The sequence below is a fragment of the Homo sapiens genome, chromosome 10 (genome assembly GCF_000001405.40).
Source record: "Homo sapiens chromosome 10, GRCh38.p14 Primary Assembly".
Classification (NCBI taxonomy): Eukaryota; Metazoa; Chordata; class Mammalia; order Primates; family Hominidae; genus Homo; species Homo sapiens.
Window position 1 is genome coordinate 14,063,990 of NC_000010.11, and position 26,585 is coordinate 14,090,574.

Genomic DNA, 26,585 nt, shown 5'->3' on the forward strand with positions numbered 1-26,585 from the left:
TGTCAACCAGGGATTTGAAAAATCAAGTCATGTTCTTCCCGCTCCTTAAGTCAATACCAAGGGTAAAGATTTTGCAATCAGAAGCTCACTAGCAATTTTGCTGGGAAGTGCTCACCAATGGAATTCCACTTAATTCCTCCCCAGCTGGGTGGGAGCTACAGCCCAACAGTGGCCAAGTGTGTTGCCCTTGCAAAATGTGACTCAGAAGCATTCAAAGAGCTGAGATACTGAGGTCCTGAAAATAGGCTATTTTTATATTGATGTTTTCCGTAACTACAGCCTTGCTGAAAGAATGCATGTGTTCCCAGTTGCACTTTTCCTTCTGTAGTGCTTTTAAATTACATGTCGTTAAGGCCACTTCCAGTAGTCTCAGAAATATTTCTCCTTGTAAAACAGTGCCCTGTGAAAACTACCATCAAATTCTTCCACTCCACATTGCCGTGGCCACCTGAGGGGAAGGCTTTGGGAAAGAATAAATGCTTATTCTTGGGAAATTCTGATTCCTTCTGCGTGAACTTTTCCAGGCTCTATGCTGATTCTCATTACTCTGGTCCTCCTGGTGAACTTCAGCAGTGTATTCTGCTTATTTTTTTATTTATTTATTTTGAGGCAGAGTCTTGCTCCATCGTCTAGGCTGGAGTACAGTGGCGCGATCTCGGCTCACTGCAACCTCTGCCTCCTGGGTTCAGGTGATTCTCCTGCCTCAGCCTCCTGAGTACCTGGGACTACAGGTGCTCACCATCACACTCAGCTATTGTTTGTATTTTTAGTAGAGACAGGGTTTGACTGTGTTGGCCAGGATGGTCTTGAACTCTTGATCTCAGGTGATCCACCTGCTTTGACCTCCCAAAGTGCTGGGAGTAAAGGTGTGAGCCACCGCGCCCAGCCCTCTCTGCTTATTTTTAACAGCGAAGCAATGGATCATTCATTGAAATGGCAGCAGAGGCAATATTAGAATGCAAAACTGCAGTGGTAATACTATATTAGAGTGTTGCCACCACACATTTATTGACTACCATACTGTTTTTAAGCATTTCAACGTATACTACTGAATTTGAGTGGTAGGGAGTGCCAAATCCATGTTGTGGGCTCGTGGGGTCCTTCTTCACACCCACTATTGACGACCATTATATCAGCAACAGGAGGAAACAGATAGAGAATAGCCTCGCCTAATTCATTCATTGGGACTTTTTTTTTCCTTCTTTTTTGAGAGATGGAGGATCTCGCTCTGTCACCCAGGCTGGAGTGCAGTAGCACGATCTCAGCTCACTGCAACCTCTGCCTCCTGGGTTGAAGCAATTCTCATGCCTCAGCCTCCCGAGTAGCTGGGACTACAGGCATTCGCCACCATACCTGGATAATTTTTTGTATTTTTAGTAGAGACAGGGTTTCACCATGTTCGCCAGGCTGGTTTCAAACTCCTGAACTCAGGTGATCTGCCTTGGCCTCCCAAAGTGCTGGGCTTGCAGATGTGAGCCACCATACCCGGCCCTAATTCAGTGGAACTTTGTCTTTCCAGTTCTCCTTTGAGGTAGCATCCAGGTGGTGGTCACAGGGCAGCCTCCTCCAATTCCCCACTGAAATATCTAAGACCCAGAAATCACTCACTCAAGCCCTGAAAACTTGAGTAAAATCTCACTCAAGCCCCCAAAACTAAAATATCGAGAAACAGAGTTTAGAGAAATGTCCCCATCAGAAGGGCTGATGTAACCAAAATTAAATAAACCGTGGCCCAATCATGCTTAATTTTATAAAACAAAGAAGCCCCACTCTCATGAAAGAAGACAGGAACACACTTTGTTGCTCCCCTGTGTGTCCCTGGCTGAATGATTCAGGGTCTGAACAAACCAAGAATAAACCAGGAAAGGGGGTCACAGCATTCTTCTCTGCATGTAGCAGGTTGGAGATACCCGGGGTCCTAGCCCCCTGTTATCCTTGCTGACATCATTCTACTGCCATCAGCAAACTACAACTTCCAGAAAACAACGTATGAGGAAGTATGAAGTGGGGGTATGTATTTGTGTGTGTGTGTGTGTGTGTGTGTGTGTGTGTGTCGGTAGGGGGAGTGGGATGAGGATAGAGAATGGTGGTAGCTCAGTGCCTGCAGTATATCCTTTGGACGTGAAATATAATAGCAGCACATAGAAGGGAACAAATATTCAGAAACACTCCATTGATTCAGAGTTGCAGAAAGCTGGGCACCTGAGGAGGAGATCCACCTTAGTATGTAGAGCTGCACCAGGAGTTGGCCAGAAGCTATTTACTGTCACCTGCTGCCAAACCAAAGTCACGTACTTCCTCTGACAACTTCCTCTTGGTGGGGGGTGTGGGGGGTGGTCCCTGTTGTCCACACAGGGAAGGGGTGGGTATGGATCTGTTTCCTCAGTTCAGTGCCATAAGATCAGGAACCTGGCTGATTGTAGCTTAGGTAGGCATTTAATATTTGTTGAAGAAACAAGCAAATGCTTTGAATCTGGATAGAGAGAATGAGTAGGGAAGATAAAGAGTGTGAAGTTGTATGTGTGTGTGTGTATGTGTGCATGCGCTGGAAGTGGGATGAGAACTGTGTAAAGTGTACACAGAAGAACAAGAAAAGGGAACACACAGCATCCAAAGAATTCAGACCTGGAGCCTACGCCTGTGTGCCGCACTCTGAATTCATGGCGAAAAGCCTCCCAAAGGACTAAGAAGGTCAAAGCAGATTGAAAAGAGATGCAGGATCGACAATGGCAATAAAAGTCATGAAGCTTTATGTAGCAAATAACCTAGCATAAAAATCTGCAAAGCAAAACGTATCAAAAAAAAGAAAGAGAAATTGAGGGGAAAATGATCGTTATTGTTATGAGAGACTTAAATGGACTTCTTTCCGTTCCGACTAATGGAATAGACAAAACCCAGTAATAATGTCGAAAAATGTTAACTATCATGAGGTATTATCAGTAGACGCACATTTAACCTTCTATCCTTCAAGAAACAAACTCTTTCATGAGAGCTCATACACAAACTTGCAATGGAATAAGTCAAATAGAAAATATTAATATGTCTCGGCTAGGTGCAGTGGCTCACGCCTGTAATCCCAGCACTTTGGGAGGCCGAGGTGGGTGGATCATGAGGTCAGGAATTCGAGACCAGCCTGGCCAACATGGTGAAACCCCGTCTCTAATAAAAATACAAAAATTAGCTGGGCGTGGTGGCGGGTGCCTGTAATCCAAGCTACTCGGGAGGCTGAGGCAGGAGAATCGCTTGAACCCAGGAGGTAGGGGCTGCAGTGAGCCGAGACCATGCCATTGCACTCCAGCCTGGGCGACAGAGAGAGAGACTCCCTCTCAAAAAAAAATTAGTATGTCTCATTGATATTAATGACAAGTATTTAGACAATAACAACCAGTATAGAGGGGAACAGGAAAGATTTATTATAACAACACTTAAAGGAAAAGAAAGCTAAACATAGAACAATCGGTCAGCTTTATTTATGACAGCAGAACTAGGAAATAGCATCAATATATCAGGTCCCTTGCCCACTGCCTTATTAATAACACTGTCATGAGGCCGGGCGCAGTGGCTCACACTTGTAATCCCAGCACTTTGGGAGGCCGAGGCGGGCGGATCACGAGGTCAGGAGTTCAAGACCAGCCTGGCCAATATGGTGAAACTCCATCTCTACTAAAAATACAAAACTTAGCTGGGCGTGGTGGTGCATGCCCGTAGTCCCAGCTACTCGGGAGGCTGAGGCAGAAGAATTCCTTGAACCTGGGAGGTGGAGGTTGCAGTGAGCAGAGATTGTGCAACTGCACTCCAGCCTGGGTAACAGAGCGAGACTCCGTCTCAAAACAAAAACAAAAAACAAACAAAAAACCAAAAACACTGTCATGAACACACACCCAAATGTATATACACAAACAGAGTCATTTCAGTAGCATTAGTAGCAGTAGAAGTACCAGGGCTATTTCTAGGCATCAAAAATAACTAGCATAGTAAGACAACTAGCACTGGATAAGTCTTCCTCCACTCCAAATAGCTTCTCCATCAAAATGCCATTCTATCTGAAATTCCACCAGTAGAAGTGTATTTTATTAAATTAATCAATGTGCTTTCTGGGATCATCTTTCAAAGTATAAATATTTCGGAGAGCAGTAACATCTTCAAACACTAACATCTTAGCAGGAATTATGGATTATGCTATGAAGTCAATCTTTTCCAGGCTCAGAGCCAGGCTGGGGGCGCAGGGGTTGGGGCAGAGGCTCAGCTGGTATCAGTAGGTAGGAAGAGGCACCATCTCTCTGACAGCTTCTCTGGGTTGTGATTGTATCACATATCTGAACAGAGTGTTTAGGAGAGTGAAATGGTTATGCCTAAGAACTGCTAATACATATCAGATCCCCAATATATATTTGCTTTCCTGTGAATTGCATATTTTATAATCTAAGTGTGAAGTAGAAAGATTCTAGTTCAATAAAGCTTTGATTACTTTTAAGCTAGTAAATATTTATACTGCTGTATTTTGTTCATTACGTTTGAATTTAAACCTAACTTTGGACTGTATTAAGTAGTTGTACTTGGAGTTCTTAGCCTTGGTATCTGAAAAAGGTTATGGGGATTGGGAGGAAACTTCTCCTTTCCTCAGTGAAATTAATTAAATTCTACAGAAACAAACTTTACATTTGACATCACTTACATATGTGTGAGTTCAAAGTTCCCACACATATGTCATCATAGAGTGCTGTGTAGAAGCCAAACTCAAGATATTCACATATTAAGACACTTACTATATTAGGTTTAATTGGAGTAGTTTCCTGTTTGTTTGTTTTTTTCCACTTAGGCTAAGTGAGATGAAGGAAGAAAGCTGTCTTATTTAGTGAGTTCATTCTCTCTCTCTCTTTCTCCCTCCCTCCCTCCCTCTCCCTCTCTTTCTCTCTCCCTCCCTCCCTCTCCCTCTCTTTCTCTCTCTTAAATACGTCTCGAATGTTTTGTGGGTATATTCTTCACTCATGTTCAATGCATCATTTTTGTTTTCTGTCCTCAGTGGCTCTCTTGTTTCCAACACCTCCATCCCCACCCCCAATACCAGCTTCTGCCCCCAGGGTAGGAAGAGGGTAGATTTGGTGATTCACTTTTTAGGGAAATATCATTGGCCTTCTGTGTTATATTCTCAGGATGTTAAGTAGTTTGGCTAAGTCAGTGTTGGACTTGTGACTTGGGTCATGTGAATTTTATTTCTTGGTCTGCCACTAATTCATATGGTGATAGACTATGTTATTGAACTGCCATACCTCAATATACACAGCTATAAAAAATGACAGTAGCCATGGCACGTTTCAATCAAATGACCATCTCTGTCAACACAATGGGTCCTACGCAGCATAGGTGCTTGCCTTAGAGATGGACTCCTTGGATTTCTTCATGGAAGCTTGTGTACATATGCATATTTGGGGGTCAGGGAGAGGGCTCATAAGTTTGATAAGAGTTCACTGTGACCTGTGTGCCTTGGGGCCTCAAAAATAGCTGTTCCCAAACACTGCTCTGGGGAGCCATGAAGAATTTTTCATTGATCTATGACAGCATGCAGAAAATACTGTAAGAACAATTTAAGGGGATTTCCACAAAGCTAAATTTAGTAAGCTTTAAAGACTACACTTTATTTAAAATATATATTTTCTGATTTTTCTGCTGGTTAATTTACTATTATATGATTTACTATTTACTTAATAATATGATTTACTATTATATGATACTGTTAATGTAGGTTAGTTCTCCCTGCCCCTGCCCCAGTGGCTTCCCTTAGCAAAATCTAAAAGTTAGTTTCAAAAAGCTTTTTAATATTTGCACGGCCCATGGAACTAAATATTTGGGAATTACAGCTTTTATAGAGAATTCTCCTGGCCCTTTATTTGCCTTTCTAACTTTTGCTGTCTGTCTTTGGCTATTTCAAGAATAATATTAAGGAAGTATTATTAAGCTGCCTCTGGGGCCAATCTGTTCAACACAAATCAATTGCCATATGCCTTAAAGAACAAGTAGATCTTCACCAGGATGTTCTTGGTGGGACAGCTTATACAGCACATTGCTGCATGTAGACTTTCTCTTCCCTCAAATCACACATTTACCAGAGCTGCTCAGTGTCTGTCTCTCTGTCCCCACACTGTCATATTGCCCCTGCATTCTCCACCTCTCTCTGAGTGCTATGACATGCCCATCCCTTGGAAGCCTCCTCATTTGGGACTCTCCACCCTGCAGGGACCCCTGTGAGGTGTAATCCAGCACCTCCTCTATCCACACTTACTGCTCTCAGCAGTCTTCCTAGAATTTTGGGAGATAAACTCTCACAAATTGTAATGTAATTTACAGCTCAGATAAGTGACACTCCAAAATGACAACCTCAACTACAATCCGCATCCTTCATCTTCATTTGTCTCCCTCCCCTCCCCAATATCTTTTGGCTATCAATATTTTATTATCGGTTTAGAAAGTCAGCCCATTGGAAAATAATTGAATGGAGGTAAAATGACCAAGGAAGGTAAGCATTGAAGAGATGGGGTATTAGAAGAGCTGGCAGAAGAAGGGACATGATGATGGAATGAGCACCTTCTGCTTTGGGTTTCAGAGACACTGGAACCCTCATTCACCTTAGGGCTCTGAAGCTTCTTTGGTCTGTTATCTATGTTGTAGTACTATTATTTGTTATATTATATTCTTTGTTATAACCACAATAGATGTTTATTTAACATCTTTCTATTAAGTGCTGGTTGTGTGCTAGACATCATGCTAGGCACTGGGATTATGACAGTGAAAAAATGCAGACATGTCACTGCAAACACTGTTCATACTGACCCTGAATCATCAGGACTGGGGAGAAAGGTATATTTAAAGATCCCTGACTTGTTTTTGACAGATTCAATGCTAAAGGAAGTTTCCATAGCCTGTTAAAAGAAGATTCAAAGATTTCAGGACACAATTGATGCATCCAATCAAAGGGAACAGATGGATTGCAAGACAAAATTCATGCCAGTGAATCTTCAGTAAGTATTCTCTGGAAAAAGGCTTAGACAGAGATCGCTGATGTACCAAGGCAAACGCCCCTTACCAGGGAAAGAACCCGGATCCCTGGACACGAGTCCTTCTTACTTTCTTGATTTGCCTTTCTGATGCCTATGTGGCTGTTCCATGCATGAAGACTTTTAGATCTCAGTTTCTCAGAAGCCAGTAAAGAGTAAATAAGATTCCAAGGCTAACTAAGTCCCCTCTGAAACTACATGCCACATTCAGAAACGACATTAATTCTCTAAGAGACCAAGATTAAATCAGGCTGGCATCTTGGATCTGCTGGGGAGGAAGTCTGTTTAATGCAATTGACCTCTAAACAGAGTTCATATTAACAGTGACCACTGTGTACATCCTGCTTTTTTAGCTGAAAGATAAACCGTATGCCCATGTTATAGAGAAGCATGAGAAAACATTGGTTTAGGATGAATTACATTTAAAAATTGAAATGGAAAGATCTTCTTTGTAAATGACTCAGTAATTTTCCATCATCCGAAAACATTTTATATAAAGAAACAATTTAGGAAGAAAAAAAGACCTACTTTAGATTAGAAAATATTTTTAAATTAGGAGATAAAGAGGTGGAGATGGGACGGAAAAAGAAGTTAACATACAAATTATTACTGTCCTTAAACTCAGTTTTTAGGAGGTAAGTGGACTGGGCTTGGGTGTTCTTGGTGGCTTAGGATATGGGTGCTGATGGGGCAGAGAGGACCAGGTATGTGTGCAGAAAGATACGCACTTAGTGGGATCTTCTCCAAGTAAGTGTTGAATGTAGAAGAATTAGACTTGATGAGAACACTGGGTGAGGGTGGACTCTTAGGTGGATCCTTGGATGAAGTAGGAGCCTGCAGCTGAAAGGGTGAAAGAAGGAGGTGGTAGGAAGGGTTTCCTTCCCCGTGTTGCAAGGCTGCTTCTCTTAATTCTGTGACTTTACTACAAAGCACAGAGGACTGTGACCAACATTTAATAAGCCTTCAATAAATGTTGATATTGATACCTAAAATTCCACCTATTAGACATTGATTTATGTTAACAACTTCCTTCTTAAAGTAAAAATTCTCTTGGGAAGGCCCAAGTCAATTGACCATTCATTCTTTATGATGAATGTTTAATAAGACTGCTTTCTTCTGGATATCTAGTTGAGATCAGCTGAACAACGAGAGTTTTATGGCTAAATGGATATGAAGACACGAGGCAATTTAGGGTCACGGAGATGCTCGGCTGAGTTCAGGCACAAATGGGGCCTTGAGAAGTCAGAAGTTCTTACTTCTCTAGATAATATCCTCAAAAAGCCAAGTGAAGATATTAAGAAGAAAAAGCCAAAAATAACAACCGTGGCTATACCATTTTGGGAACAGAGTTGGATTCACATATCCTCCGTCCTTCTACTTTATAAACATTATTTGGAAAATTAAAAGTCGAAAATATTATAAGATTAAAATTCTGTGAGTTGGAGTCAACTTGTCTTCTAAAGCCTAACGCTTTCTGAGCCTCAGTTAAGTTACCACAAGAAGCAAGCCACCAAATTTGCCATCCAGAACTGTGATGCATGCTCTCATTTCCAGCAAGATGTAAAGCAGGGTTTTCATAACTGTTGAAGCTGCATCACAACCATCTCCACAAAGGACCATTTATCAGTTATTTTGGGAAAGGGGAGGGTTTTTTTAGAAGAGAAGAAACCACGCTAATAAGCTTTTTGTCTGCAATCATTTCCCACTGAGATTCCATATCAGTACATCTCCATTTGCTACATATTTAGCTTTAAAGGAAAATGAGGTGAGATGGAGATATTTGAGTCATAAAAGCAATAAAACGTGCTTCCGGAAAATAGCTTTCCTTTCAGTCCCCAGACCTGCACTTCCCAGATATAAAGTTTGTTTCTTTAACAAAAGTCTTGGTCAAGTATAGCCAGGCATACTGATTATCAGAGAAATATATACATATGTTTATAATTCATATGAAAGGAAAGAGAGAAAGAGCCAAAAAGAAGGGATAAAAAAATAATAGCTTTAGAAATAGAGAAAAGAAACAAAAACAAGACATACACTACGAGAACCCCTTGTAACCTGCACCCTTACCAGCTGTCCAGGAAACCCAGGGTACCTCCATCTCTCAGCTCAGAGGTTGGTGACAGGTGGTGTCTTTTATTCATATGCCCTCCCTGGGGCTCTTAATAATTGGTGTATTTCTTGTAGTCCCTTTAGTAGGCTGGGGGCAGTAGTGGGAGTGAGGGCGAGTTGGATGCTGGCTTGTTAATGGAGCTGAAGGGAGGGCTACAAGGTGACAGATGGGATGAAGCTGGAAGCTTCTTTGGTGGGAAGGGAGGGTGTTCTAGGTCATGAAGAATTAGATCCATTGAGTTGCTGCAAGAAATGTCCCATTCCTTGAGTTCCTAGGTGATTGACTTAATCTGCCCATCAGTCTTTGTGTGGTTGGTTTTGTGGTTGTGTGGATAAATCTAGACACCAAGGACCCTGGATATACCCTCCCAAAGCAAAATAACACTGGGGGCTGGGGTCACTTATTACTTGGCTGGTGTCCATGATGGGAAAGATCTCAGGGATGATGGCTGATGTTGTTGGCATTGTCTTTGCTTGTCCAAGGGCTGCTGTAGAAGAAGCGAACGGAGTGAGGGGAAGTCCAGGGGTATGAATGTGTCGTGTTCATGGGTTTTTCACCACCACCGGGATCCTGTTGTGACCTACCCACTGGTCAAGATGAAATCCCTAATAACTTAGGTGTTAAAAGACTGGAGGTTGCCCTGTATAAATTGGGTCACCAAAAGTTCCTTTTAAATTTTGCATAGGGCGGTGGCTCATGTCTGTAATCCCAGCACTTTGGAAGGCTGAGGTGGGAGGATCACTTGAGGGCAGGAGTTCAAGACTAGACTGGGCAACATAGTGAAACTCTGGTTCTACTAAAATACAAAATTTAGCCAGGCATGGTGGTGTGTGCCTGTAATCCCAGCTACTCGGGAGGCTGAGGCAGGAGAATTGCTTGAAACCTGGAGGCAGAGGCTGAACAGAGCTGAGATCGTGCCCCTGCACTCCAGCCTGGATGACAGAGCAAGATAGTCTCAAAAAAAATTTTTTTTGTTTCATATGTAGTACCATAGCACCAAGAAAGTGCTTAGGTGGTAAGTACAAAGGTGGCCAAGGTGAGTTCTGACAGTACAGAATGGGGTTTCCATGGAGACGGCAAATAATGAAGCAGTGGATGGGGGAGGGGGATGTATGCTCCAAGGTTGTGCCCACTCGGCACGACCCAGGTTCCATGCTACAGGCCTCTACTTGTCCAGACCTGAGGGTCAGATTCAGATGGTGCAAATGTTTAAGACCTGGGTCTTCAACGAGATGAATTATCAGCTATTTCATAGCTGCAGTGTTGGATATGCCGAGACGATAAAAGCAACAGCAATCAGAATCAACAGTTGAAACGACATGGCAGACGCTGTGAATGCTATGAACTGCTGTGCTGAGCAGCAGGATTCCTGTGTCCTGGCGCAATGCCCATGGGGATTCATGCTTTCAGAGGGTCACGCCTCAGGAACACGTAGAAGGGCAAGCATTTCATCTGGCAGGGCACTGATTTAATCTGCACGCATGTTTGGCTGTAAAACTAGCTCCTCCCCCTTACCATTTTTGAGTCGCTGCCGGACTCAAATTCCACAGATTCTGGAAGGTGTCCAGGAACTCGTTGATTTGTCAAACTTATGGCTACACACAGCTGGAATGGAGACGGACTCCACTGAGGAGACTCATACAGGACAGGAGGGAATTTTAAGAGGATAACCCTGGTAAGCCATGGTGGATTGGGTGATGGGAGGCTGTGTAAGAAAAGCTCTCTGACCTTGACTTCCAGGAATTTACTCTTAGATGGTTTAATCTAGATACTACCAGAGCTTGTAATACAGAAAATCCTGCAGGTAGGGAGAAGAGATTACCCAGAATTAGTTGACAGTCTATGTTTCATAGAGTAGAATCAAAGAAAGATGTCCTTATGAATTAAAAAAGCAAGCAAACTATGGTAACTTGAACCAGTTTCCAGTGCTAACGTAGCACTGCCAAGAAAAGACACTGTAAGGTCACCACTGGTCACTAGATACAGCTTGTTTTAAGTTACAATCACATTTACATAAAAACAATAAATGGTCTACATCACCTTGAAAAATGGTTTTTCCTTCCAGTTGTAAGCACTTTATGTCCTGGTGAAATGCTGCTCATCTGATTATTTTACTATATTGAGAAGAGGAAAGGGGAGGACATATTATTTTCTTAACACCTAATGGATCCAGACACATGTTAAATGCTTGACCTCCACAACCATGTTTAACTGTTAGAACAACATGATGTGTGTGTGGTTTATTATTTCTATTTTCCAAATCAGGAGACCAAGGTCTATAGAGATTACGTAGCCTTCCTGGGCACTAGGAACAGGGACAGAACTGGAACCTGTGCCTATCTCTTTCTGTCGTTGCTCCTTCCAACATATCATGTTGCTTCTCAAAACCAACAGTGAAAAAGTATTCTTTAGCCTAACCTGAGCTGAAATGGCTTAGATATGAAAGCGTAAAGTTTCACTGGCTGTGCATGATGCAAATTTCTTAAATATAGGCAAATATAAGCATGTGTGGGTATAATTTCTGTATTATGTGTATACCTTTATATCCATATGCTGTATAGTATGTGTGTATACATATAGTGTGTGTGTATATTTTATATTTATACACACACATATGTATATGCACACACACACACATATATATAAACCATTAATCTAGGAATCAACAAACCACATCTGATGATATTTCTGCATTGTCATAAAGCCGGAGAGAGAAGCTTCCCCCAGTTACAGGAAGAGATTGTGTGATTGTGTCTGTGCTTGCTTTTTCCTAATGTCTGCATGTTGGACAGAACTTGGCCTAACTCTCATGTTCATGGTAATGTAGCATCTATTTTGAACCACAGGAGGATGGAACATTGACCAGAAGAACCTGACCTTAGTTGATGGCAACTCTGTTTTATTTCCGCTGCTCACCTGGGCCTCTGAATAACCGGGTTTCATTACTACAAGGCTGGCTCACTATGCACCCCTTCACCTGTTCATTTGCCCAGTGTGTGTCTAACCCAGCCATCCACAGCTATGTCATGAAGACCTGTGCATGGATCCCCACCTGCCTTTCCCATGTTACCTGCGAGCTTACCAAAGACTTGGGATTTTTCCAGCATGGTGAAAGATGAAAATGTGCTTGGGTTTACTTTGTCATTTCCAGGGCTGGGTTAAAGCCATCATGTAATGAAGCCAGATCCACATTAAAATGTGGATCATGGCCAGGTGTAGTGGCTCATGCATGTAATCCCAGCACTTTGGGGGGCCGAGGCAGGTGGATCATGAGGTCAGGAGATCGAGACCATCCTGGCTAACACAGTGAGACCCTGTCTCTACTAAAAATACAAAAAATTAGCTGGGTGTGGTGGTGGGAGCCTGTAGTCCCAGCTACTCGGGAGGCTGAGGCAGGAGAACCGCGTGAACCCGGGAGGCAGAGCTTGCAGTGAGCTGAGATCACGCCACTGCACTCCAGCCTGGGCGACAGAGCGAGACTCCGTCTCAAAAAAAAAAAAATGTGGATCATTGTTAGATGCATTACTATGAACTTTGGGGTGGGGGAAAGGGTCAACGTGGAAAAACATCCAGGCATTTCCCTTTTTCTACACTTGTCTGTATCTCTCCCCAATAATTCATTACTTGATTACTTTCCTCATTCATTCATTCCACAGATATTCCCTGGCCATTGAAATCAACTACTTGTGTCAGAATACAAAGCTACATGAGATGTGGTCCTTGTCCTCAATAAGCACACAAGTCAGGGAGTTGGAGGGGAGATTATGAGTAAGGAAGAGATACAGAGGTGAAGAGGGGAGGTGTCCAAGCTGGAGGGTTCTCAAGGGAGAGGGAAGAGTCTGGAGGCTTACAGAGAAGATAGCTCTTGGGGGTTTTGCCCTTTGAGCCTCTCACAGAGGTCCTGGGCCAAGGAGGACTTTGCGTTTTCCATCAGGGTCAGCCTGGTGTCACCCAAACACCTAGAGGAGTGAGGAGACACCAGAAATCCCAGATTGTGTGACAGCACCTGGGTAGGCACTGCAAGGGACTAAAGATGCTACTTGCAACCAAGGATGATCCCCAAGACAAAAAATATGCATTATAAGAATTATATTTTGGTCCTCAAACTTCTGGTTCTATAAATGCTGTTCTCACTGTCTGGGAAGTAAGATTTGGACTTGGCCAGTGGAAATTCAGTTTCTTCATTTGTCACTCGATGCCTGTGAAAACTTTGCCAAAAGCCTGACTTCTTGGAGCTTTGGTTTTCTCATCTATCAAGTGAGAATACTAATAATCATAACAATAATGCCTACCTCACTGATCTCTTAGGGTTGTTATGAGACTTAAAGTGTGCTGTGCAAAGTCTGAAACTGTGCCATAACTCTTTACGGTCATTATTATTAGTATTGGCAAAAATGTCCATTTCTGCACCCCCTTCCATTTGAGTGGTGAGCGTTTTCCTTGCCCTGCTATTAAGAGGTCACTCGTGTCAATGCTGAGAGGCCCATGGAAGCCTGACAGCTTGATGTTGCATCTGTGAGAAGTGATTCATTGGAGCAATCTCCCCTTAAGTTCTGATGAATGCATTAAGTTTTAGAAGGAAATCTGTTTGAATTGTGGCTTGATGTCTAATGCTTGGAGGATTATATAATTGAATTGTAGATGCTAAATTGCATCTTCTGAAATACTGAGAAATAGTCCCATTCTCATATAGGCTTAACATCCATCTAGAATATTCCAATTGCTTGTTACTAGGAGATATGTGTGTTACATGGCAAGCATGTGCTCATGTGGACTCACCCACCTGTGAGGATGGCATAGGTGAGGAAAGAAGAAGATGAGAAAGGTTTTATAAGGTAAACTCAATTGTGAAAACTATTACATGATGGTGGACAATTTCAGCTTCAATTCACCTGATGATGACCCTGGCTTCAATAATTAATGACCCTGTTATTAGATTTCTGAGGCAGACAGCATCTCATTGCAAGGGACCACTTTGATGAATGAATAATCGTAATAAATACAAACCACTGGCCAGAGGGTCAACTTCTACTGTCTGCTTAGCTGGAACATGAATGAACCCAGCCATGATTGCAACATTCTCATGGCCATTCTTTTGGAATTCCAAGTAGGAGAAGAACCTGGAGGGTCATTAAGCTGTGTCCTTTGTCTTCAGGCAAGATTATCTCCAAACCAACCAAATGGGGTAGAACCCACATTGACACTCTCCTGGCAACAGGCTCAAGGCTATTGGGAAATCTTCCGACTTGTGTCAAATCTAACATTTGTCTTTCATTTAGTTGAGACCAATCTACATAAATCCAGGTTAAAGGGAAGCTTCTTCCCGCCCTCCAGAAGACACAGGCAGTGGCTCAGGTGACCTGCCAGCATGGAACCTGTCTCTCTCAACAGTAAGTTACTGAGCACCTACTACGTGTGAGATGCTCTCCTGGATGTGTTTCATTTTATAGTATTTGACATCTGTTTTCTCATGTGAGCCTCACAACAATTTTATGTGTTTAGGTCATGGTGGGGGGTATGACCATTATAGGATGGATGAAAAAAACGAAGCTTGAAGAAGTTATGTGAATCTCCTGAAGTCCAGAAATGGCAAAGTTCAAACTCAGGTCTCCTGGCTCCAAGCCCATGTGTTTCCCCTTCTACTATGTCAACCTCTCCCTGCCCTGGGCTGCCTTGTGGCACCGTCCCTTTCTGTGGAGACTGGTACATCTGCCTTAGTGTCTTCCGGCTGTGTGATGCTTGTGTTAAGGCTCCATATTCTGGAGGTGTCCTGCGAATTCTCCACTGGAAAAGGGAAACAGGACTAACCCTAGGTCTTGAAGGGTTTCCCTCAGAGCTTGAGATAGTCAGAGGAAAGGACTGAGTGTCCAGGGTTTGGCCATCTCTAAGTGCTCTTTTGCTTTTGAAACAGAAATAGACCTTGCATCTGTTGGGCCCATAGTACTAGCTCCTGCTGTAGGTGCTTTTGTGGGCACTGCATGTTAAATCCTCACATCAACCTCATGAGGTGCTGCTGTTACCTCCAGTTGTGGATGGGGAAGGTGAGCTGTGGGGAGTTTACATACGGAGGTGGAAAATGGCCAAACTGGGATTTGAACCCCTGCCAGGGATCTGCTCTTAGCCTCTTTACCATGTTAAGGAGCCTGGGCTCCAGCACCCTCTCCTCCTGTCTGCTGCCCTTGGTCCATAGAAGGAAAAGCCCAGACCTCCTGGTGTCCTGGGCACTCAGAGATAACCAAAGCCTGGAAACTCAGCCTTTCCATCTCAAAAGTGAAAGAAAAGTCAATCAAACAAAAATGACCGAAGTGTTTTCTAATATTTTCATTAATTAAAATTATGGTTCCTGATTTCATCTTTTTGACATCCAACACCAATGTACTAATAATCAAGCCCCTGGAATAATGGTGTTTAATAAAAAGGGTGAAACCTGCAATGCTTTTAGGCAACACATTTACCATGGCTAGAGAGTAGTGGGATGTGTTGGTGTGATTCTGTGTGTCCCTTGGTACGTCAAACACCCACGACACTTAGTAAGACTGTGTGACAACAGCGCTGAGCAGTTTAAGTGCTTGTAATCCGCTGCCTGGGACCAGGCTGAGACTCAGAACTGGGTGTTCTTGCTTTTTCACATTTGCTGCTGATTATGCTGAGGAATTAGATGGGAAGGTGGGCCAGGGATGGGGCAGATAGACATATTGAATGTGTACCCAGAAACACAGTGAGGGTCTGTGGTCAAGGATGTGGAGTTTCTATCCACTTGGCAAGGGGTGGGGAGGGTGAGTCTATACAATGAAATCACTCCCTGTGTCCATTGCGCCCAACACCAAGCATAACATGAGCAGCTGCAGTTAGGAGGAAAAGGCCAAAACCTCCCCTTGGACCTCCTGCCTGGACCTCCCTGCTTTAAGCAGGAATTGAATGTAAAATGCTGTCTGGGCCAGCCCTGCCTGGGTCTGCAAAAGGAGAGGTGCCTGCAGCAATGGCTAGTGGGCCAGCCCCTGGCAGCACATGAAGCCACAAAGATGCCCCAGCTACTGGGCTTGTCACCCACAAAGGCCCCCACTCTAGCCTGCCCCCTACCCTGCAGCTGGAGTGTCTCTGGAGAAGTATTTCCAAACAGCCCATTCCCTGCCCCTCTTCATTTTTGTGTTATGTGCCACCTGAAGGTCTTTATGATGTTCTATATCCCCGCTTCTTCTCCCATGTTGTTTTGCCTCCTATGACATTGGAACTGGCTCCTGAACAAGGGGTTAATGTAGGAAGGGAGCCCCCACCTGCCATAATGAGAACCCCCCCAGCACCTCAGACTCTTTCTCATCCAATTCATGGGGAGGAATGATTTGACAAGCAGGACAAGTTCTATCCTCAGGCCATGTGAGTGCTCCAGCCAAGATGATTGAGCCTCTTCTGGGGTGGGACTGTTTGCCAGTGGTTTGCTGCATCAGATGGCCTTTTGGATCCTGGACACAGCTACAATCACAGAAGCGATCTTGGAAGCCACTAAGCCAGCCCTACCATTTTGCAGATGAGGAAACTGAAGACTGCGAGGGAGGATATTCAGCTTGAATTTAGGGTCAGCAAAAGGATGCATTGAGGAAAGAGCCCAAGGTGATCAGTGTCCAGTTGGCATCTCTATACCTCATGGTGCTGTCTTCCTGCCCCATTGCCAGGCTTGGATTGTCAAAATAAGGAACTGATCTCCAGGAGATAAATTCGTCAAGTAGAAGACAGGCTTCAAGAAAAGAAAGGCACTCTGTTTTGCAGTGGGGAGCACTCTGCTGGGGGCCTATGTGGCTCAGACGTTGATGGAACCGTCATCTCTGTAAGTGGAGACAGTAAGCACTGTCCTAACTAAATCACAGCTCTTTACTGCTTTTATATAAAGATTACTCAGGTTGTAATAATAGCCCATAAATTAGTAAGTACCATTAAGTTTATGGGCTTCTCCTAGTCAGAGTCCTTTCTAGCTATCAATTTGGTAGAGTTTAATAAACTCTCCATGACTTATAAAACCACGGTAGTCAAGTTTTGGTCTGTACTGAGTGGCGTTTCTGATACTGACTTCCTTCTCTACTTGCGTGAAATGAAGGCAAAAGGACCCATAACAACACAATTAGACCACAAGACAGGTGTCAGCTTATCACATTAGACAGCTGCATTAAAGCCAATGTACCTCCTTCAGGGTCTGGGTGCCTGCAACCACTGGGGGTCTTGCAAGCATCTAGCAGGATAGGAGAACAGCTCAGATGGAAGAACAGACAACAAACCCACTGCCCACTGAGATTCTGTGAAGGAGAACTCCTGTGCAGTGGCAGAATTGAGTGGGAACCATGTCTGCCCCAGCAAGGAACTTAACTTCTCATCTAAAAATCACACCAGTCCTGCATACCTCATAGGAGCAATTGAAGATAAAAATAAGTCAAGGTTCAGTACAAGCTCAATCTCATGGAAAATATGAAAGTGCCATCATCCAATAATCATAATAATCCAGAGCTATGATATACAAAATGTCTTTTATCATGCAAAGCTCTGTGCCAAGCACTAGACATTCATTCTTGTTTTGATCCCTGCTGCCCTCCTAGCAGGCAAGAAGTCTCGCTCTACCAAGGCTCAGAGAGGATGGCAACTTGCTTAAGGTGACATAGCCAGCCTACTGTGGCAAATTCAGACATCCAATGCAGGTCATTGACTCCAAAGACCATAGGCCTACACTGCCCCAGACTATTTAACACATCACTTTTATTAGGTTGTATTTGTCCTAATTCACTCCATACTTCTTAAAGATTTTCTATCAATGGTCAAAAATACAAATACAGGTTGGGCACAGTGGCTCACGCCTGTAATCCCAGCACTTTGGGAGGCTGAGGCAGGTGGATCACGAGGTCAGAGATCGAGACCATTCTGGCTAACATGGTGAAACCCCATCTCTACTAAAAATACAAGAAATTAGCTGGGCATGGTGGCACGTGCCTGAACTCCCAGCTACTTGGGAGGCTGAGGCAGGAGAATTGCTTGAACCTGGGAGGCAGAGGTTGCAGTGAGCCGAGATTGCACCACTGCACTCCAGCCTGGGCAACAGAGCGAGACTCCAGATAAAAAAAAAATACAAACACAATCTAAGATATTTTTATTAATAGCCCAGGCTTGGATTCTGCAAAAGATGTGGAATCTCTGTTGAAAACCAACATAAGTAATTTCAGATAGAACTACTACCAAACTAGATATCAACTTACTTAAGTAGGTTGATGGAACTTAACCTCACTTTCCTAGGAGTAGCTAGACGTCCTACAGACTTGAAGGTTAGGGGATGAGGGGTAGACATTGAGGATCCTGGAAATGAATTAGTGTTCTTTCCTCCATGCTGTGGTATCTGTTAGGCTGGGTGGTATAACCAGTCGCCCATAGTTCTGCATTTCATTGCAATCCAAGCTGCAGTGAGGTGGAGCTGAGGCCCCAGCACTGAAGTTGAGTGACGAAAAGGCACCTGAAACTCAGGTGCATTTCAGTTGGTGACTGGTTTTCATGGGAACTGCTAAAATGTAAAGAGAATGGCTTTGTAGCCCATAACGCGGAGTCTGCAGTCATCCCTCCCATGGCATTTTTGGAGCTACCCATGACCATGATAGGTTGCCATTAACAGGGATGGATTTGGCTGTGACTGATCTGCAGTGCCCTCCAAAGGTCTGACAAAGATCTGAGCAAATAGATTTTACAAGAATGTTCACTATTTTGTTCCCAGCACCTAGCAGAGTGTCTTATACATAGCAAACACTGATACATATTTGCCAAACAAGATAGATATTAATGTCTTAATTTATTGAAACAAAGACTCCAAGAAGCTAAATGCATTAACTTGTTGCACATCACGCAGATCTAACTAAGGTGCAAGGTAAGATTTGAAGTTGGGTCTGTCTGACTGTAGAGCCCCTGCCTCGATCACTAAAACACTTCTGGAACCTTCCGTGGAGACTGAATCTGTAAGATCCTTGTCACAAGCACCTCAGGTAATTTTGGTGCAAGTGGATCACACTTGAAAAAAGGCCATTGTAGTGACATTTGAATGACAGCTGACATGTTTGAGCTCTTACTCTTTCCTCAGCACAGCTGCATAATCTTCTCACCAACTCTACGACTGTTGCATTCTAGAGATTGAAAACATCAAACCAAACCTGAAGCACTGAGAGGTTGGGTAACCAGCTCTGGTCACTGAGTTGGTGAGGGATGGATTCAGAAGAGGTCTCCAATTGTGACACCGCAGAGGACCTGCTCTTGGCCACTACACTCTACCAGCTCTGCAAGAAGGTGAGGGAGGGAGGGTGGAGTGTGATGGGCTCTTACTGTCTCCATTCGGTTTTGTCTTAGATAAAGGGAACTGAGTCCTTAGGCCCCTCCAGCAGGAAAGGCTCACAACAGCAGCCCCTCCGGCCCTGGGGTCAGTCTGTATTCACACCTAAGGGCAAGCTAAGTTGTGAATTTGACAGAGGACTTGGACAGTGTCTCTAGTTGTCCCGGTTATAGCTGTGGTTAGTGTCCACCGATGGATGAGGAGATGCTTCCGGCAGATTGCTCTCTTAGCCACAATTCCCTCATTTATGGCAGCAAAGCAGGCCAACGATTGCAAAAGACAGAAATAAAACAGAAAATCTTGGAATGAGCATCATCCTGTAAAAAGCATAGAGTGACATCAATAACGGGTAGACACCTTCTCCCCACCTTCGCACAACTGTAACTTTTTGGTTGTTAAAGGAACAGATAATCATATTTCTAAAGAAAGAATGCCATGATTCAAGCCCTGGAGTGAATAAAGACTCATTTATGGGAGGTTATACCAAGAGGAAAATAGTAAACGGGCACGTGTTTTAGCCCTTTTAGACTTGTAAATGGTCCACATGTAATGTGCTCCAAAAATGGTGAAATCATCCAGTAAAGCACTCACAGCCCTGACTGCTGCTTGTGGCATCATGGGGGAAAGTAAAAAGGCCCATGCACAGAGGGCTTTTTTAACTTTTCCTCTAGACAGAGTCTTGATCTGTTGCCCGGGCTGGAGTGCAGTGGCATGATCTTGGCTCACTGCAACCTCCGCCTCCTGGGTTCAAGTGATTCTCTTCCCTCAGCCTCCTGAGTAGCTGGGATTACAGGCATGCGCCACCATGCCTGGCTAATTTTTGTATTTTTAGTAGAGACGGGGTTTCACCATGTTGGTCAGGCTGGTCTTGAACTCCTGACCTCAAGTGATCCGCCTGCCTTGGCCCCCCAAAGTGCTGGGATTACAGGCGTGAGCCACTGCACCCGGCTGGGGTTTTTAATTAATATATACCCTCCTGTACTAAGTATATTTTAAATTTTCTATGTTATGTGATGCTTTGACATCTCAGGTCTTACAGACTGGAGGAGAGATGTCCTTTCCTGGAGTTAGCTAATTCCTAGAGATCCCAAGCAACTTGCTCATAAGCACACTTTTGATATGCAAACCAACCGGTTCAGAGTTCATACTCCTACCTGCCTCCTTTATCAGGGTCCTGCCATATGGGACACAACCCTTCTGCCCTAAATCGCCCCAGGGCCAGCTACCAGACAACTAGGACCCCCCATATAACCCAGAGCCCACGGGACATATTTGAACTCGTTTGAACCAACCCTAAGCCTGCTCAACTGCTTACCCTGCCTCGACTGCTCCTTCTCCTGAAAACCACCATAAAGCTGTCTGTCCGTGCTTTTTCCTCACTCCTTCTGCCTCCTGGCTGACCCTGGTGCTTCCCCGCATGGCCCTGTGTGGCGTGGCTTGTCTCCTACTCTTGGGAATTGTCAATAACAAACTATTTTTTCAATGGTAATGATCCCCTGATCTGTTGACCTTGCCACACCTGAATAAAAACAAACCCCTCGGGTACGCTCTGAATCACCTCCTTACTGAAAACCACAATACATTCTTCTAATTCTTACAAAGGGAATCCCACCTCCATCTGTTTATAAATCAAGAAGTGTTCATCACATGCTCTGGAAACTTTCATGCAAAGTAGTTTTCTTGTGCCATCGTAGACGCATGGTTATGTCTAGGGATGTTTGGAGATGAAGACGCACAACTGACTCCTGACTCCTGTTTACTTAACTGTGTGGCCTTGCGCAGGTTATTCCCTTAAGTCCCAGCTTTGTCATCTGAAAATGCCACGGCAGATGCGCACCTCACGTGGTTGCAGGGTTTCCACGAGCCGATGGATGTAAAGAACCCAGCAGGACGTTGGCTTTCAGTTAATACTGCAAAAATAGTAGCTTTTCAGCAGTTCTTCTCTCCCCAATCCACAGCTTTGGTACTGTCACTCCACAGCCCCTGGATGAGGCTCTGACACTTTGCAGGGAGGACGCATTCTCATCAGAAAGAGACGGAACGGGTCTCAGAAGCTTGCTTTCAGAGGGCTTGCCTTTCAACTCAAAGCCCATGGGGATGCTGGGGACAGAGCCTGCCTCCCATGTGAGAGGCCACCATGCGCCAGAGAGCTCAGCCTGTGGAACACAGAGCAAAATGGCAACTATCTTCCCATCTTCATTTGCGCTCGCTGTCCTGTGGAAACCTCCTCTCTGTGAAACTGGTGGAGTCACGATTTTGGGGCTGGACCATCTGCCTGGTCCCAAATGTAATTCATGAACTTGGAGGGATCTGCATTACTGTTCATTTCAGCAGGAAAAATGATCAATGTATTTCACAGCTTTGAGAATCTGCACCTTTTTTCTGGACTGCGGCAGGCATATATGGGTTCTGGCATTCTGATTAGTAAAGCAGCCAAATTTTCCCTTTTATTTTTTTGCAAAATCCTCTGTCTTCCACTTTAATACGAGCGCCAGTAAATATTTTATGCCGAGGTCTTTTCAGAGCACTGTTTCCTATCTAAAGGCATATACTTCCACCCTAGATATGTATTTCTTTAGTTAATGTACACATGTAACACACATATAAAATAAATGAAAGTAGTGTATTTTTCCAGTTATCTCCAAAGAAGTAAAACTAATTAGATAGAATGGAGAAGGGGCTATGCTGATTAATTTAATTATCTGTTTAACTAAAGGCTAAACAGAAAGCTTATTGAGGTTTCTACCCTGGTAATAAAAAAAATCTTTCAAATGTACAAGCCCACTTGTATGCCTTCCGTAGACTGAACATGTAATTAATTTTGAGAATTCAGCTCTGAGCCTCAGGTTCACTAATGTTGAAATCAAGTTTGTTGATATAAAAGATTTGATTGGATTTTCATGCGTTCTAAGAAGTGTTAGAAAAAAATTATGTAAAAAAATCTTCATAGCTTATTTTTTATAATTTGCATCTTATGCTTGGTAAGTGGAACATAGGATTATTTCCCACTAACAGAATTGGGGATAATCAAGTTTAATTAAAAAGTATTTTATCATAAACTCTTCTCATCTCCAGTGCAAAAGGTAACGGCTCTTTCCAACAATGACTATATTGCCATTTTTACTGCCCTCCTTAACCAGGGTACGGTTTAACATCCCAAAGAAAGCCTATCTTGAAAACCTTTTATGACTCAATCTCTTATGAGAGCTTACTTATATAATGTATGGGTTTTTTTTGTTATTGTTTTAGAATGATGAGTGATCACCATAACATAAACAGACACCACTGAGCGGACTCATTCTTGGTCTTCTGTCTGATTCTGGGAGATTCAGAGCTCTGGCTCTGCCACTAACAGCAGGGAGTTGGAGAAACGATTTTGCTGCTCTGGAGCTCAGCTTCCTGATTTTGAGGGGGATGTCTTGGAGGTTCTCCCCACATCTGGAATTCTGGGATTATATGGTGCCTTATGCTAGTGGTAGGGGGTGTGTATTGACAACCAAACATCCCGATTTGCCCAGCATTGAGAGAGGGTTCCTGGGACTTGGGAATTGGGGTATGAACACTGGAAACTGCCAGGGCAAATTGGAACCAGCTGGCTACCCTGGTTGCGGGGGGTGGGCATGTGGTTTGGTGTGTGTGGGCACAGCCTCTGATTTATAGAATTATAAATTATATGTTAATTATATACTACATAAATTATATTTATACACTTATAGGATTATAAATTATATATTAATTATATAATATAAAAATTATATTTATAAAATTATAAATTAATTAATATATGTGTTATATATCTATAAAATTATAAATTATATATTAACTTTATAATATATAAATTATATTTATATATTATAAAATTATATTTATAGAATTATAAAATATATATTAATTCTATTTAATTCCAAGCATTGGGTTGAGAAGGAAGATACACAGGTAAAGTACTTTGTATATTTTCTGGCACAGAAGCACTAAGTAAACATTAGCTATGATTATTATTGTTTTTGTTTTTCTCAAGCGCTTCCACACTTTTCATCTCAGACCCACAGAGCCAGTGTGTGCGGCTGAGGTGCTCAGACTGGCAGGTGAAATGACTTCATTAGTGCCCTGGCTCCTGGTGGGATGAGAGTGGAAACCCAGCCTTCTGAGTTGAAGAACTGGAACAAACATCAGCCCTGACACATTGATGTCAGTTTACCTTTGTGAGAAACAGGAACGAAATGTGAACATCTATTTCAGGTGATGTCATAAAGCCCGACTCAGAAGATGGCTATGATTTCAACAGCCTGTCGGCAGCACGGATTTCAGAGTAACTTACAATCAGTAATTAATCTAAACAACAGTGCCGTGTGCACTCCATTATTAAAACAGAAGGGGAAACAAAAGGAGACTGAGAGGATTGCTTTTGAAGGGTCATGTTGCAGCGGCTTCTGCTGGATACTAAAAAGCAAATTATTATCGGGGGTTGTTTGTCATTCACAGGAGGAATTGGATTCCTTTATGTTTATAAAGTCACCTTGGTATCTGGAAGGAGAGCAGAAACTAACAGAGCCTACTTTACTTAGGAATGTAGGATGCTAATTTATTTGCCTTTTTCTTATATTAATATCCTTATCTGTAAAAAGGGGGAAGAAAATAGGGCTGTTTTGAGGAGATGTGGCTGAGAAAACAGAAAAAGAGAATTACAGGCCTGAAATCCCAGCACTCTGGGAGGCTGAGGTAAGAGGAACGCTTGATTCCAGGGATCTGAGACCAGCCTGGGCAACATGACGAAACCCTGTCTCTATTTAAAAAACGACATTTAGCGGGCTGTGGTGGTGTGCATCAGTGGTCCTAACTACTCAGGAGGCTAAGTTGGGAGGACTGCCTGAGCGTGGGCGGCCGAAGCTGCAATGAGCCATGATTGTGCCTCTGCTCCAGCCTGGGTGACAGAACAAGACTCTTCCTAAAAGAAAAAAAAAAAAAAAGGAACGACGAATCAGGCCAGGCACAGTGGCTCAAGCCTGTAATCCCTAATCCTAGAACTTTGGGAGGCTGAGGCTGGTGGATCACCTAAGGTCAAGGGGTCAAGACAAGCCTGGCCTACACGGCAAAACCCCATTTCTACCAAAAAATGCAAAAACTAGCCGGACGTGATGGCGCATGCCTGTGGTCCCAGGTACTTGGGAGGCTGAGGCAGGAGAATGCCATGAACCTGGGAGCTTGCATGAACCCAGGAGGCGGAGCTTGCCGCGAGCCAAGATCACGCCACTGCACTCCAGCCTGGGGGACAGAGCAAGACTCTGTCTCAAAAAAAAAAAAAAAAAAAAGTAAAATAATCACTTCCACTCAAATCCTGGGTTCACACTGTTTTCCCCAGGAGGGACTAGAGGTCCATAAAGAGGCAGTCACGGTCGGGGCTCACACAGCTAAGGTGTGGAGGAGCAGGGGCGGGGACCAGGGGTGTGGCTGGAGGCTGTGTGCTTGTCAGTTCTCCAGCTGCCTGTAATAATAAGCCTGATGCTAGCTTACCCAGAAGGGGCGAAGATAAGCGCAGGGGTGGGATGGGGGCTGCTGAGCAGAGCCTGGAAGATGAGTCCTCATTGAGGAGGAAGCCCATGGAGTTGGCCCAGTGATGATAAAATCAGCTGGGAAAGTCGATGGAGTTTCCCAGCGCTTGAAGTCCATTGACTTTCCCAGCTAATGTTACCAAAGCCTCCTTCTGACTGTACCTGTTTTCCCACAGGCCCCTGGCGCTGGTTCTCTCTGGAGGTTGAGTTTCCGTGGGGAGAGAAGAGTGCCCAGCGTGACCACCGTTGGCTGACTTCCCATGCCTTATTCCTTGTTTCCCCCGCTGGGGCCCAGCCCACCAGCCCCGCAGTGCATGAAGCCACTTATCACCACGGTTCCCAGAGAGGACGGGCTGGCCCAAGTCTGCATTGTCACCTGCTCTGGGGAAAACAAAGCCCTCTCCCCCGCCCTCCCCGCAGCATGCTGGGCACAGGGCCAGCCCGTTCTATGTTTTCAGTAAATTTTCAAACATGCTGGTTTTGGTGGCAGCTTTTGCAGTGATTATCTCATTAGGGGCTTGGCCCTGAAACACCTTATTTATTGTGGATTGAAAAAAGTTCACCTTTTCAAGCAAAAAAAAAAACAAAAAAAAACAAACAAAAAAAAAACAGAAGAAAGAAATAAAAGAACCAGACTGTAGTTTCCCTGGAAAATTTTCGCTTGTGGGAAAATACCTCCCCGGCCCGTAGAGAGACGCCATCACCAACAGTGTGGAGTTATCAGATGGGACTGGTCCAGCTTTGTGGGGCCGGGGCACACAGTGCCAATGTCCAGGTAGTTTCCAAACCGTGTTTTGTTTCCTCTGTCCTCTTTATAAACCCACGGATTGAACCTCATGGGCCCACAAGTTCCTGATTGCTTCGTATATATTGTACAGATTTTTTCAGGAAAATAAAATAGATCTTGCTCTACCCTGACAGAGCAGGGCCGATATTCTCTAGAAGAGAGGAGAACTCTAGAATGGATGGCAGCACTCTGAGTGTGTAACCCAAACAGCATGCTGAAATAGTAAAACTCTGCCGCAGGGGCAGATGGCTGCTGGGAGAATATTTATAGCAGGGATCTAGAAATAACCGTAAGGGAAAAGCCTTCTGAGGAGGAACGGAACAAGAGTCTTCGGGGTGGCACTTGGAGACACTCTTGCTCTTGCCTGAGGTCCTGGAGGGCTGCAGGCCGACCGCTGCACGGGAGAGAATATACGTGGTATTCACAGGGTACACAGAAGTCATAATACTTCATGTAGATCTGTGCCACACAGATGTGAGAGCTAGGACTTGGAAACAGGAAGAGAAGTGGGAGGATGATTAGGAGCGTAATTGGTAAATGTAGTACAGTCAAGGCAGACGCTGTAAAAGGACCGGGCACTGCAGAGCTGCAGGACAAGAGCCTGGGGACACGACAGTCAACCAGCCCGTGGGCATCATGGAAACAGCACTTTGCAGGCACCTGAGTGAAGCACAGGAAGGAAATGCAGACACAGGTGAAGGAGCACGGGGTTGGGTTAGAGCCAGGCAGCATCCCCCCAGCC

General features: G+C 44.0%; 1 protein-coding gene and 1 long non-coding RNA gene across 3 annotated transcripts in view; one reads left to right on the forward strand and one right to left on the reverse strand.

Moving 5' to 3' along the window:
• FRMD4A (FERM domain containing 4A) overlaps positions 1-26,585 on the reverse strand; it is a 687,219-nt gene that overhangs the window by 420,284 nt on the left and 240,350 nt on the right. Inside the window, exon 4 of one of the 2 annotated variants that reach the window (NR_134578.2) lies at positions 18,958-19,824. The exons of the other annotated variant lie outside the window; for it this stretch is intronic. The gene's annotated coding sequence lies outside the window, so the exon portion shown is untranslated. Of the gene's footprint in view, positions 1-18,957; positions 19,825-26,585 lie in introns of those variants that run through there. 2 annotated transcript variants of the gene reach the window in all.
• FRMD4A-AS3 (FRMD4A antisense RNA 3) lies at positions 10,295-23,892 on the forward strand. Its single transcript, NR_120638.1, has 3 exons — positions 10,295-10,837; positions 19,309-19,464; positions 23,526-23,892. It is a non-coding gene; the product is annotated as an FRMD4A antisense RNA 3 (long non-coding RNA).